Source organism: Homo sapiens, chromosome X (assembly GCF_000001405.40).
Source record: "Homo sapiens chromosome X, GRCh38.p14 Primary Assembly".
Taxonomy (NCBI): domain Eukaryota; kingdom Metazoa; phylum Chordata; class Mammalia; order Primates; family Hominidae; genus Homo; species Homo sapiens.
The window spans coordinates 54451479-54465438 of record NC_000023.11 but is presented as its reverse complement, the minus strand read 5'-3'; the positions used below and the strand labels follow the sequence as shown (position 1 = coordinate 54465438).

The window sequence follows — 13960 nt, the reverse complement described above, 5'->3', positions numbered from 1 at the left end:
ACCCAGGCCCCTTCCTACTTCTCCACACTAATAGCTCTAGGCCAGACCTCTGAGGCAGGACCCCAAGACTTAATTCACAGGGTCGGCCTTCCATTGCCACATGATTGAAATCCCAGAGGAGAATCTCCAAACTGAAAGGCCCACATTGAGGTTCTGAAGTGAGACCCCAGGATGAGATCCTCCTTCTGAATGTTCTCTTTGGGTATTCAGGCAGGGACCTCTAAGTTGAGACCCCTGCCTGAATACCTGTAGAGAACATTCAGAAGGAGATCCCCAACCTGAACTTCCCAACTGGAACCCCAGAGTTTGAGTGGCATGCCCATTATGATCCCCTAAAGGAACTCATCCATTTCCTAGATCGAGACCCCAAGGCTGACCCCTAGACTCACCCCCAAATGAAGTTGTACCAAATGAGAAAGGAAACTGAGCCTGAAACCTCAGGGACTGAGCCACCAAGCTGAGAGGCCAGACTGACCCCTCAGGCCAAGCCCACATCACAGAATCTCCACAGCTGAGCTCCCCAGAAAGAGCCCTGGCTCATCAATTTTCCATCCTCCAGATTTAGAGCTTTCCTCCATGTCCGCCAGCCACTACCCAGAATGAACCTCCCAAAAGAACCTCCAAATTGAGCACCCTAGACTGGACCCCAAATTTTCCACCTCTCAAATTTGGATCTCTAGGCTGAGATACCTCCTCCCCAGACTGAATCCTTACACATTGAACCACTAGAAAAGTCTTCTATCCCGATTCCTCCAGTATCAACCTGAACCCCACACCCCAGATAGAGCTCCCCCCGCCTACCCCACTTTCTCTTCCCCAGATTTTCATTCATTCATTCATTCATTAGTTTAACAGCTACTTACTGAGCACCTCCATGTTTTTGTGCATTGTTCTAGGTACTGGGGATATAGAGGTGAACAAAACAGACAAGGTCCTTGATCTCAGGGAGCATATATTCTAGTCAGCAATGAGACACAGTAAACAAAAATAATAAACACACAGTAGAGGCCGGGCGCAGTGGCTCACGCCTGTAATCCCAGCACTTTGGGAGGCCAGGCCGGGGGATCGCCTGAGGTCAGGAGTTTGAGACTAGCCTGGCCAACATGGTGAAACCCCGTCTCTACTAAAAATACAAACATTAGCTGGGCGTGGTGGCGGGCACCTGTAATCCCAGCTACTTGGGAGGCTGAGGCAGGAGAATTGCTTGAACCCAGGAGGTGGAGGTTTGCAGTGAGCCAAGATTGCATCACTACACTTCAGCCTGGGCAACAGAGCGAGACTCCTTCTCAAAAAAAAAAAAAAAAAAAAAAAGAGCTGGGCGTGGTGGTGGGTGCCTGTAATTCCAGCTACTCGGGATGCCAGGGCAGGAGAATCACTCGAACTCGGGAGGCAGAGGTTGCATTGAGCTGTGATTGAGCCACTGCACTCCAGCCTGGGTGACAGAGCGAGACTCCATCTCAAGAATAAATAAATAAGTAAATAAATACACAGTAGAATATTAGATAGGTGCTGAGTATAATTCAGAGAATTAGAAGAGGGTGGCATGACAGTGGCTGGAGAGCCTACTTGAGATTGGGTGGCCTGTCTGACTAGAAGACAGTGAGTCAAAACCTGAATAAAAAGAAGGTAGGCACATGCCTGTTGGGGTTGAGCATGTTCCAGGCAGAGGCCACAGCAAGTATAGGGTCCAAGGCAAGGGGAGATATTAGGGGAGGTGGGGTGCTGGACAGGTTGCATATCTCTGGATCAGGAAGAAGGTCAGTGTGACCTGAACATGACAAATAAGAGTAGAATGGTAGAAATGAGGTTGGAGAGAGGAGCAAAGACTGAAGGCCAAGATAAGGAGATGGATTTTATTCTGAGTATGGTGGGTAGCCATGGGAAGGTTTCGATCATGATTACTTGGGGAGCAAGAGAGAGAGAGCTGAGAGATCAGTTAGAAGCCTTTTGCAATAATCCAAGTGAGAAAAGTTGGCTTGGATGAGGACAGTAGCAGTAGAATCGGTGAGAAATGGTTGGATTCAGGATACATTCTTTTCAGAAGCAGCACTGAGAGGACTAGGGTGGAGTGGATGCTGGGCTTGGGAGCAAGAGTCAGGAATGACTTAAAGGTTTTTGGCTGGTGGTGATGGTTCCTGAGATGATCTTAGGAGTCTGACTTTGGACATGTTCAAAGTGAGCTGCTAGTCAGGCAGTTAGATGAATCTAGAATTTCAGGGAGAGATTTGGATGTCATTGGCACATAGATAGTATTCCAAAGCCATAAGGCTGGCCAAGATCACCAAAGGGAGTGAGTGTAAAAGGAGGGGAAAGGGGGCCAAGGACAAAGCTCAGGGATGTGGAATCACCAAAGGAGACTTAGAAGGAGCAGCCCTAGGCTGGGCGCGGTGACTCACACCTGTAATCCCAGCACTTTTGGAGGCTGAGGCAGGTGGATCACAAAGTCAGGAGTTCGAGACCAGCCTGGCCAACATGGTGAAACCCTGTCTGTACTGAAAATACAAAAATTAGCCAGGTATGATGGTGCACGCCTGTAATTCCAGCTAGTCAGGAGGCTGAGGCAGTAGAACCACTTGAACCCGGGAGGCAGAAGTTGCAGTGAGCCGAGGTGGCGCCACTGCACTCCAGCCTGGGTGACAGAGCAAGACCCCATCTCAAAAAAAAAAAAAAAAAGAAGGAGCAGCCCTAAAGGTAGGAAGAAAACCAAGAAAGTGTGGGGTCCTAAAAGCCATAAGAATGGGGTTCGAGGCCGGGCGTGGTGGCTCACGCCTATAATCCTAGCAATTTGGGAGGCTGAGGCGGGCAGATCACCTGAGGTCTGGAGTTTGAGACCAGCCTGGCCAAGATGATGAAACCCCATCTCTACTAAAAATACAAAAATTAGCCAGGCGTGGTGGCCGTGCCTGTAATCCCAGCTACCCTGGAGGCTGAGGCAGGAGAATCGCTGGAACCCGGGAGGCAGAGGCTGCAGTGAGCCAAGATCGTGCCACTGCACTCCAACCTGAGCCACGGAGTGAGACTCCATCTCAAAAAAAAAAAAAAAAAAAAAGAATGGGAAGTGGACAGCTGTGTCCACTGCTGTGTCCGCTTCCCAAACTGAGCCTTCTCCACCCTGCCAGATGGGGCACTTTGCTACCAAGCCTGGACCCCTAGAAAGAACTAGGCCTCTAGAAAGTTTAATAGCTAAGCTCTACAAGCAGACATCTGCAGCATAAGTAAGTACCTCATTCCTCCTGCTGAAAAAGAGCCCTCACTGAGGTGCCAGCCTAAACTTCTAGAAAGGGCCTTCCAGACTGATTGTCTGGGATGGGCCCTATGGACTGACATCTCCAAACTGAACCTTCATACTAAGCCCATTCTGAGGTCCCAGTTATAGATCCCAACACTGGTTTCTCAAACTAAGATCCCCAGACTGGGCCTCTTCCCACCTGGAATACTCTTCCCACACTGAGCCCTGAGAGTGGGTTCCCAGTGAGAGCCTTCAGCTTGAGGTCCCCAAAAGAGCTTCCCAGTCTGATCTCCTTGGCCACCATTCTATAGACAAGTATTGCCAAACTGAGCACCCTAGATTAATTCTCCTATTTCATATCCCTCAGACTGAAACTTTCAGCCTGAACTTAAAAGACTGACTCTCCAGGTCCATCCTACAGACTGAAGCCCCACTGAGCCCCAAGACTGGATTCTCTGAGTTCCCCAGAGGGAACCCTGAAATTCAGCAGCCCAGACTGAGCTCCAGACAGAGATTCCAGATTGTGTTCTCCCCAGCCCAAGTCCCCTAGACTGATGACCCCTATTTTTCTTTTTTCTTTTTCTTTTTTTTTTTTTTTTTTTTTTTTTTGAGACAGAGTCTTGCTCCGTCACCCAGGCTGGAGTGCAGTGGCGCGATCTCGGCTCACGGCAACCTCCGCCTCCCTGGTTCTAGCGATTCTGCAGCCTCAGCCTCCCAAGTAGCTGGGATTACAGGCACCCACCACCGCGCCCGGCTAATTTTTGTGTTTTTAGTAGAGATGGGGTTTCACCATCTTGGCCAAGCTGGTCTCGAACTCCTGACCTCGTGATCCACCTGCCTTGGCTTCCAAAAGTGCTGGGATTACAGGCATGAGCCACCGTGCCCGGCCAACGACCCCTATTTTTCATTTACCAGATGGAGAGTCCCATGATGAGCTCCAGGACTAATGCCCTAGATTATTAGACTGTCCCCCAAATTAAGCCACACAGGCTAAGTGCCTAGTCCCATGTCCACATTGAGCTTCCAGGACTCAGTTCTGCAATTTTATTTTCACACTGGATCCCCAACGTAACATCCCCAGGTGAAAATTCTCCAAATAAGCTCCCTGCACTAGACCCAAAGTGAGCCGCCAGTGAAAGCAACCTAGAGTGGGCTCCAGATAGAGTCCATTTTCTCAACTGTATATCCTTGGGCAAGCTGCTCAGCCTCTCAGCCTAAGTTTTCTCACATGTAGAATGGGGATGATAATGATACCTACCTCATATGGTTGTTTTGAGAAGTAATGAGATAATCTGGGTAAAGCTCCTAGCACAATGCCTGGCACATGGTAAAGGCTCAATAAATGTTAGCTGCTTTTATTACTAAATGCACTGGCTAATGCCCATCCCTCTAAAATTGGCCCCAGGTTGAGTTTAAGAAATTTATTTATTTTTTATTTATTTTTATTTTTATTTATTTATTATTTTTTTGAGACGTAGTCTCACTCTGTCGCCCAGGCTGGACTGCAGTGGCGCGATCTCCGCTCACTGCAATCTCTGCCTCCCAAGTTCAAGCGATTCTCCTGCTTCAGACTCCTAAGTAGCTGGGATTACAGGCACCCACCACCACGCCTAGCTAAATTTTGTATTTTGGGTAGAGACAGTGTTTCACCGTGTTGGCCAGGATGGTCTCAATCTCTTGACCTCGTGATCCACCCGCCTCGCCCTCCCAAAGTGCTGGGATTACAGGCGTGCGCCACCGCACCCAGCCTATTTTTATTTTTATTTTTTTTGAGACTGAGTCTCGCTCTTTCGCCAGGCTGGAGTGCAGTGGCACAATCTTGGCTCACTGCTGTCTCTGCCTCCTGGGTTCAAGTGATTCCCCTGCCTCAGTCTCCCAAGTAGCTGGGACTACAGGCACACACCACCATGCCTGGCTAAGTTTTGTATTTTAGTAGAGATGGGGTTTCACCATGTTGGCCAGCATGGTCTCGATCTCCTGACCTCATGATCTGCCCACCTTGGCCTCTCAAAGTGCTGGGATTACAGGCATGAGCCACCGCACCCGGCCTTTTATTTTTTTTTATTATTTTTATTTATTTATTTATTTATTTTTGTATTTTTTTTTTAGTAGAGACGGGGTTTCACCATGTTAGCCAGGATGGTCTCAATCTCCTGACTTTTTGATCCACCCGCCTCGGCCTCCCAAAGTGCTGGGATTACAGGCGTGAGCCACCGTGCCTGGCCTATTTTTTTTTTTAAGTGAAAGTAAGTTTATTAAGAAAGTAAAGAAATAAAGAATGGCTACTCCATAGGCAGAGCAGCCTGAGTTGAAGAAATTGAGCTTCCTGTTTTGTATCAATCCCAACCCTATCTGAGGCCCCAGGATGAACCTCACAGCTTGAGCTTGGCCAACTGAGCTTCCTTAATGGAGCCTCCCAGATTGAGCTCCCCACATCAAGTCCAAAGATGAAACTTTGTCCCCAGAAACAACTTACCGGTCTGGTTTTCTGAGCTGTTCAGAATGAGAATCTCTGAATGAGAGCCCGCCTGAGATATGCGCACTAAGATCCTCAGCCCAAGATCGTAAGCTGAGCTCCCAATTTTTTACACCTCAGACTAAATTCCCCAGGCTGAGCCTCACTGAATCATATGTCTGGTTCCCCAGACTGACTTGCCCACTTTCTACTTTCCAGACTGCACTCTGGAGCCTGGACCCTAGACCAATCTCCCCATACCAGGCCATCTGGAACTCCTGGCCTCAGTTGCCTACACTGGGCCCAAGACTAAACTCCAAACCAAGATCCTAGACTGCCAAGCCCAGACCAGGCCCCACTAACGCTTCCAAACCAAGCCCCTACATCAGGCCCCGCAGATTGCACTCCCTAGCCTGAACCCCTAAGTGAAATTCTAGACTGAAATCCCCACACTGAGCCCCCAGGTAGGGACTGTACACCCTGGATCCTTGGAAATGCCAGTCTGTACTCCACATGAGACATCTCCAGACAGAGCTCGTTGTAACAAAGCCTCCAGTCAGAGCCCATCAGCCTACACAGGCCTGAGCTTGTGTGCCCACAACTTGCCAGAGTCTTCTTCCTATCCCCTTCCCTGGGTGCCCCCTACCTCTACCACTCAGCCTGCCCCCTGCCTTGGGGTGGGGGAGATGTAGGATGTGTAGGAGAAAAGGCAGCTGGGAGATCATTCCCAGCTCTGATGCCAACTCTGCCACCCAGGTAGGCAACCTAGGGTGGTCACCTTCTCCCTGGGTCTTGGTTTCCTCATTGGATAAATGGGGCACAATCATCTATGTTACAGGGTTGTTGTGAGGGTTGAAGGAGCTAATTTATCCAAAGCATCTGCCTGGAGAGGGCAGTGGGACCTTGGCCCTGTCCTAGGGAGCTCGTAGTCTACTGAGGAATATGGATGCAGATGTATAAATACATGATGAGCACTGTGACTAGTGGGACAGAAGGGAGCAAAGGAGAATGTGAGAACCCAGACAGGGTCCTAACCCAGCCCGAGAACTCTGGGCAGGCTCACTGGAGGAAGTGAGCTGGATCCAGAAGACAGTGACAGTTGGCCAGATGAAGTAAGACGGGACATGTTTAGGGAGGTGTAGGAAGCTGGAGTGGTCAGCAGAAGCCACATCACCAAGGGCTTTGAGTCTTTTTTTTTTTTTTTTTTTTTTTTTGAGACGTAGTCTCGCTCTGTCACCCAGGCTGGAGTGCAGTGGTGCGATCTCGGCTCACTGCAACCTCCACCTCCAGGGTTCAAGTGATTCTCCTGCTTCAGCCTCCCGAGTAGCTGGGATTACAGGCACGTGCCACCACGCCTGGCGAATTTTTATAAATTTAGTAGAGACGGGGTTTTGCCATGTTGGCCAGGCTGGTCTTGAAGTCAGGTGATCTGCCCCCCTCGGCCTCCTAAAGTATTGGGATTACAGGCATGAACCACCACGCCCAGCCTCACCAAGGGCTTTGAATGTCAGGCTAAAGGGCTAGGTCTTTACCCTGCAGGCACAGGGGAGCCATTGACAGATTTGAGCAGAGGAGTGACAGTAAACTGTGTGAGAAAGCTCCTTCTGGCAGCTAGGATGGAATAAGGGTTGGAGATTGGAGCCCGGCCCCTGAAAGGCATGTGGATGCCTGAGCTGGGACAGGGGCCATAGATCTCCGTGAGCACCAAAACTTGGTCATGAAGAGAGAGCCTCTTAGGAAAACACGACTTGGTTGGCCAGCCATATGGACCTCCTTCAGAAGCACCTCTGCTCCTCTAGCACAGGCTGATCTGAGTGGGGAGATCCAGCACATACAGAATGGGGTACACAAAGACTGTGGCCAGGCCTTAAGCATGGGTGGGATTTATTAGTGTGTGGAGATGTACAGGGACTCATTTCAGCTTTTTCTTTTTTTTTTTTTGATGATACCTGGTCACTATAGGAAATATGGAAATTACAGAAAAAGATGAAAGAAGTAGGAAAAAAATCCCCTGTTATCTGAGCCCCCAGAGAATAAGCACAATGAACATTGTGACATAAATTCTTCCTGGTGTTTTTTAGACATGTATACTTGTAAAAGTAAGATCATTCTATATAAACATGTTTGTATCCTTTTCTTAAAACACCCTGAGCATTTCCCAGATTATTAAAAGACCTACATGAGGATCATTTGTAAAGGTTGTTTAATGTTCCATTATATGAAGACACCATAATGTATTTAACTGAACCCCTACAGTTGGCCATTTTTTTTGGCAGGGAAGAGGTACAGGTGAAGGTGTGCTCCCCTACAGATGGACATTTTTGTTTCCCACTTGGAACTGTTGTAAATACCAATATGACAAAAATGTGTTTGTGTATAGAATGTGTATTTTCCTAGAATAGATACCCAGAATCAGAATCATTGAGACAAAGAACAGGATCATCTCATTGTTTCTTTATATGGCTTTTTCTGATTATAAAAGTAATACATGTTCTTTGTCAAAAATACGGAAAATACAGAAAAACCTAAAGAAGACAATAAAAACCACCCACGGCCCCACCAACCAGAGACAACATGGGTATGCTTCCTTCTGGTTACATATGTAACTATTATTGTTATTATTAATGGTAATAATAATCTTGGCAAGCTTGCATTTTTTTATTGGCTGCCAACTACTCCATCTATTGTGATTCTGGCATTGTGACATTGGACAACTTCTGATTTTAAATGATGTTGCTGTGGACATCTTTGAGGGTGGAGCTTTCTGAGATGGGAGGGTGTGATCAGGCCAGGAGGAGGTATTCAGGGAGGAAAGAAGCCCCGAGGCCGGGTGCGGTGGCTCACGCCTGTAATCCCAGCACTTTGGGAGGCTGAGGTGGGTGGTTCACAAGGTCAGGAGTTCGAGACCAGCCTGGCCAACATAGTGAAGCCCCGTCTCTACTAAAAATACAAAAATTAGCCAGGCATGGTGGCACGTGCCTGTAGTCCCAGCTACTTGGGAGGCTGAGGCAGGAGAATCGCTTGAACCCGGGAGGCAGAGGTTGTGGTGAGCCGTGATCATGCCGCTGCACTCCAGCCTGGGCAACAGAGTGAGACTCCGTCTCAAAAAAAAAAAACAAAAAACAAAGCCCCGGAAAGGCTCCTCTCTGCTAGTCCCCCATCTGACCTCACCCCTCTATGCCTGTAGAGTCTCTGGAGCTGATCGCCACAGCAGCAGAGCACTCGAATGCTGCCATCCGCAAAATGGTGAGTGGCCCTTCTAGCCCCTGCCCTTCCTTGGCCACCCACCTGTGGTGTCTCCATCCTGGAGTGGGGGTGTCGTGACTTGTGGGCATCTGACAGGAGGCTGGCACCCCAACCGTGCCTTTTGTTCCCTGTCTTTTGCCAGGAGCGAATGCATAAGCTGCTGAAGGTATATGAGCTGTTAGGGGGCGAGGAGGACATTGTCAGCCCCACCAAAGAGCTCATAAAAGAAGGCCACATCCTTAAGCTGTCAGCAAAGAATGGGACCACTCAAGACCGATACCTCATACTAGTAAGTGCCAGGCATGGAATTGTGGGTGGGTCATGCCCCTCCCAACACACACACACATAGTGACCTGGTACTCACTCAAAGACTATACCTCCTTTCATTCCTGAAAGAGGAAAAAAAAGAAAAACAGACTATACCTCCTGCTAGTCATTCTCTCCTCTAGTAACGAATTGTATTTTCACTACCTAGCTAGGATTTTTTTTCTCCACTTTACAGATGAGGCAAATAAGCCTTGCAGAGAAGTGACTTGCCCGAGGTTCCCCACTAGGAAGTGTCTTCCATGCCTAGGCTCTTTCCTTGTGACCCCTGTGCCCAATTTGGGCTGTCTTTTCTCCATCTATTGCCTACAGTCCTTGGCAGTAAAGCTTCAGGGCAAGGAGCTGGGCCACATCCCCACTAGGCCCTCTGCACATACATCCCAAACTTTTTCCTTCCTAGTTCAACGACCGCCTCCTTTACTGCGTGCCCAGGCTGCGGCTCCTTGGCCAGAAGTTTAGCGTGCGGGCACGCATTGATGTAGATGGCATGGAGGTAAGCATCCAAGAGGTGGGAAATGGGAACTTGGAGTGGGGCATTGGTGTTGGGAGGAACAAAGATGCTGGCTTTGACCCCGAGTCTGTGTGTGTATGTGTGCAGAGGGCTAGGGCCCTGTGGAGTTCAGTGGCCTCACCATGCCCCTTTCTGCCTCCATTCAGCTAAAGGAGAGCTCCAACCTCAATCTGCCTCGAACCTTCCTGGTGTCAGGAAAGCAGCGCTCCCTCGAGCTCCAGGCCAGGTACTTATCCTTGCCTATGCCTTTCCTCCAGCGCCTACCTCCCTTTTGTTCAGATATGCTGAGGCATTCCAGGCCCAGAGATTGTTCCAGAGAAAGGATGGGCACCTTTCCCCAAAGATGCAGGCTTGCTCTTCAGCGGTGGGGGTGATCCCTAAGGGTTAGACACCATTTAGATTCAGGGTGAGTACTTCACGATATGGGGAAAGGTGGCACTCCTGCCAGGGAAACCTTTTGGAAAATGAATAAGCTCTCCCTAATTAAACCAAGAATTTCTTCTGGTGGATTTTGTTAGAGGAGAGAGAAGAATGGGATGTGAAACCCAACATGAATAATACCACCACAAATAGTTTATTGTAGATTCACAGATCTAAGAGAAATAACAATCAAATGCAGTACTTGGTCCATGACAGAAGCCTGGTTTGGGAAAAAGAGCCCTAAAAGACATTTGTGGGACAATAAGAGAAAATGTGGATGTAAAGTGAACATTAGATATTGAGAAATTATTGCTGTCTTAGGTGTGATAATGTTATGGTGGTTATGCAGGAGAATGGCCTTGTTTTGCAGCAGTGCATGCTGAGGGCTTAGTGTCACAATGTCTGTTAATTACTTTAAAATGGTTCAGCACCCAAAAAATACATATGTAACCATACATACACATTTGCACACATATACATACATACACATATACAGTCATGCACTGTATAAAACATTTTGGTCAATGACAGACCATATATACACAGTGGCCCCATAAGATTAAAGTATCATATTTTACTCTACCTTTTCTTTTTTTTTTTTTTTTTTTAAGACAGAGTCTCACTCTGTCACCCAGGAGTGCGGTGGCATGATCTCGGCTCACTGCAACCTCCACCTCCCAGGTTCAAGCAATTCTCCTGCCTCAGCCTCCTGAATAAGTGGGATTATAGGTGCATGCCACCACGCCCATCTAATTTTTGTATTTTTAGTAGAGACAGGGTTTCACTATGTTGGCCAGGCTGGTTTCGAACTCCTGATCTCAAGTGATCTGCCCGCCTTGGCCTCCCAAAGTGCTGGGATTACAGGCGTGAGTCACTACGCCTGTCTTTACTATACCTTTTCTAGGTTTAGATATGTTTACATACCCAAATAATTAGTGTGCTACAAATTAATACAATATTCAGTACAACTGTAACATGCTTTACAGGTTTGTAGCCTAAGAGCCATAGGCTGTACCTTATAGCCTAGGTGTGTCGTAGGCTAGACCATCTAGTGTACTAGTGTCAGTACGCTCTCTGATAGTCGCACAACAATGAAATGGTCTAACGACACCTTTCTCAGAACACATCCCCGTGGTTAAGTGACGCGTGACTGTATGTACATATATATGAAGTAAATATGGCAAAATATAAAAAAATTTTGCATCTCTATAGTAGGTATATAGATATGTATTGTACTTGTGCTATCCTGTTTACTTTTTTGTATGCTTGAAGTTTTTTATAATAAACATTTTAAAATAATAGCATGGGATGATGGCCAGCCATTTAACAGAGGGGCCTTTCATATCCATTCTCTACTTCGATGATTATAATCATAGCTCATATTTCCTCAAGACTTAGTTTTTTGCCAGGTGCTGTTTTAAGTTAATGTTAACTTAAAATTTTAAGTCTAAGTTGACTAGTCAAAAGCTTACAAGAGCCCTAGAAGTAGCTACTGTTACCATAAATCTACTTTACAAATGGGGAAACTTAGGTGTAGGACAGTTCTGCATGCAGGGCGCAGTGGCTCACGCCTGTAATCCCAGCACTTTGGGAGGCCAAGGTAGGAGGATCACTTGAGGCCAGGAGTTCGAGACCAGCCTGGGCAACATAACGAGACCTCGCCTCTTAAAAAAGAAAGAAGAAAGAAAGAAAAAGAATATTTATGTACTTGCCCAAGATCCCAGAGCAAGAAAGGAGCAGAGCTGAGATTGGAGCTCAGGTCATCCGGCCCTGGAGTCCACATTCCTAACCACTGTCTATGCTGCCTTCTGAGGGACCAGGTGAAAGGGTATCAGGGTCATGGTGAGGGCCAGAGGATGGATGCATGTCAGCAGATGGCCTGCTTCTGACAGGCTGTGAGAAAGTGAGAAATGACTGGCTGGGACTGCAAGGAGGTGGGAGAGAGAGATGAATGTGAGATAGAGGGTATCCTCCTGGGGGATGAAGTGAGTCTTGAAGCTTGGGGAGATTGAGAGCCTCATGGAGGCCTGCAGCAGGGAAAGTGAGAGCAAAGCAGATGCCCTGCACATCCAGGGGAGTGACAAGCCACGTGACAGGGACTCATCATCTGCAGAGAGGAAAGGGGCTGCAGTGGGACACTGGGCCCAGAAGGGGCAGCCAAGCAATGTAGGATTTCCTCCTAGTGGCAGCAGGAAGGCATGGAGGGTTTGCTTTGCTTTGCAGTCACTTTTACTGCCCTTAAAAGAAAAAAGAAATTTAATGCAAATTTTCAAATATCCGGAAAAGTGTAAGTACAACAAGCACCCAGATGCCCACAACTTAGACAGCTGCTTCTCAACTTTGGCAACCTTTGGAATCAGCTGGGGAGCTTTTAAAAAATACGGATGCCTGGGACCCACCTGCAGAGATTCTGATTTAATTGGCTTGGGGGATAGCCTGAACATGGAGAGCTCTAAAAGCCCCCCAGGTGATTTTATTTTACTTTTTAATTTTTATTTATTTATTTTTGAGATGGAGTCTCACTCTGTCGCCCAGGCCAGAGTGCAGTGGCGCCATCTCGGCTCACTGCAACCTCCACCTCCCGGGTTCAAGTGATTCTCCTGCCTTAGCCTCCTGAGTAGCTGGGACTACATGTGCATGCCACCGCGCCCGGCTAATTTTTGCATTTTTAGTAGAGACGGGGTTTCGCCATATTGGCCAGGCTGGTCTTGAACTCCTGACCTTGTGATCTGCCCGGCTCGGCCTCCCAAAGTGCTGGGATTACAGGCATGAGCCACCACGCCTGGTCCCTAGGTGATTTTAATGTGTGTATCAGGGTGTACAACCACTTATTTAAGAGTCAACAACTACTGACATTAAATGTCTTTTGCTGAACCATTTTAAAGTAAATTACAAATATCAGGACACTTCACCCCTATACACTTCAGCATGAATAGCCAAAAAACTCTACTATACTGTAGTTCTTTTTTTTTTTTTTTTTTTTTTTTGAGATAGGGTCTCTCCCTGTCATCCAGGCTAGAGTGCAGTGGCGTTATCATGGCTCCCTTCAGCCTCGAACTCCTGGGTTCAAGTGATCCTCCTGCCTCAGCCTCCCAAGTAGCTGGGAATACAAGCATATGCCACCATGCCCAGCTAATTTTCGTATTTTTTGTAGAGATGAGGTCTCACTATGTTGCCCAGGCTGGTCTTAAACTCCTGGCCTCAAGCAATCCTCCCGCTTCAGCCTCCCAAAGTGCTGAGATGACAGGTATGAGCCACCACTCCGTCTATTGTGGCTCTTAAAAATAAAAAGCAACACTTGTTCACTTCTAAGAAATTATAAATTAGAAAATATAGATAAATAAAATATTTCTTTTTTTTGAGTCGCAGTTTCTCTCTTGTTGCCCAGGCTGGAGTGGCAGCAATGGCTCCATCTCGGCTCACTGCAAGCTCCGCCTCCCAGGTTCAAGCGATTCTCCTGCCTCAGCCTCACAAGTAGCTGGGATTATAGGCTCCCGCCACCACGCCCGGCCAATTTTTGTATTTTCAGTAGAGACGGGGTTTCACCATGTTGGCTAGGCTGACCTCAGGTGATCCAGCCGCCTCGGCCTCCCAAAGTGCTGGGATTACAGGCATGAGCCGCTGCACCTGGCCAATAAAATAATTTTTTAAAAGAATACAATCAGAATAGGCCAGGCACGGTAGCTCACGCCTGTAATCCCAGCACTTTGGGAGGCCAAGGCGGGTGGATCACCTGAGGTCACGAGTTCAAGACCAGCCTGGCCAACATGGCAAA

At 47.8% G+C, this 13960-nt stretch overlaps 1 protein-coding gene across 1 annotated transcript in view; it reads left to right on the top strand.

Moving 5' to 3' along the window:
* Positions 1 to 13960, top strand: part of FGD1 (FYVE, RhoGEF and PH domain containing 1) — a 50781-nt gene that overhangs the window by 30796 nt on the left and 6025 nt on the right. Inside the window, exons 9-12 of the mRNA NM_004463.3 lie at positions 8872 to 8930; positions 9073 to 9219; positions 9655 to 9747; positions 9912 to 9991. Of these exons, the coding sequence (NP_004454.2) occupies positions 8872 to 8930; positions 9073 to 9219; positions 9655 to 9747; positions 9912 to 9991 (379 nt within the window). The remainder of the gene's footprint in view (positions 1 to 8871; positions 8931 to 9072; positions 9220 to 9654; positions 9748 to 9911; positions 9992 to 13960) is intronic.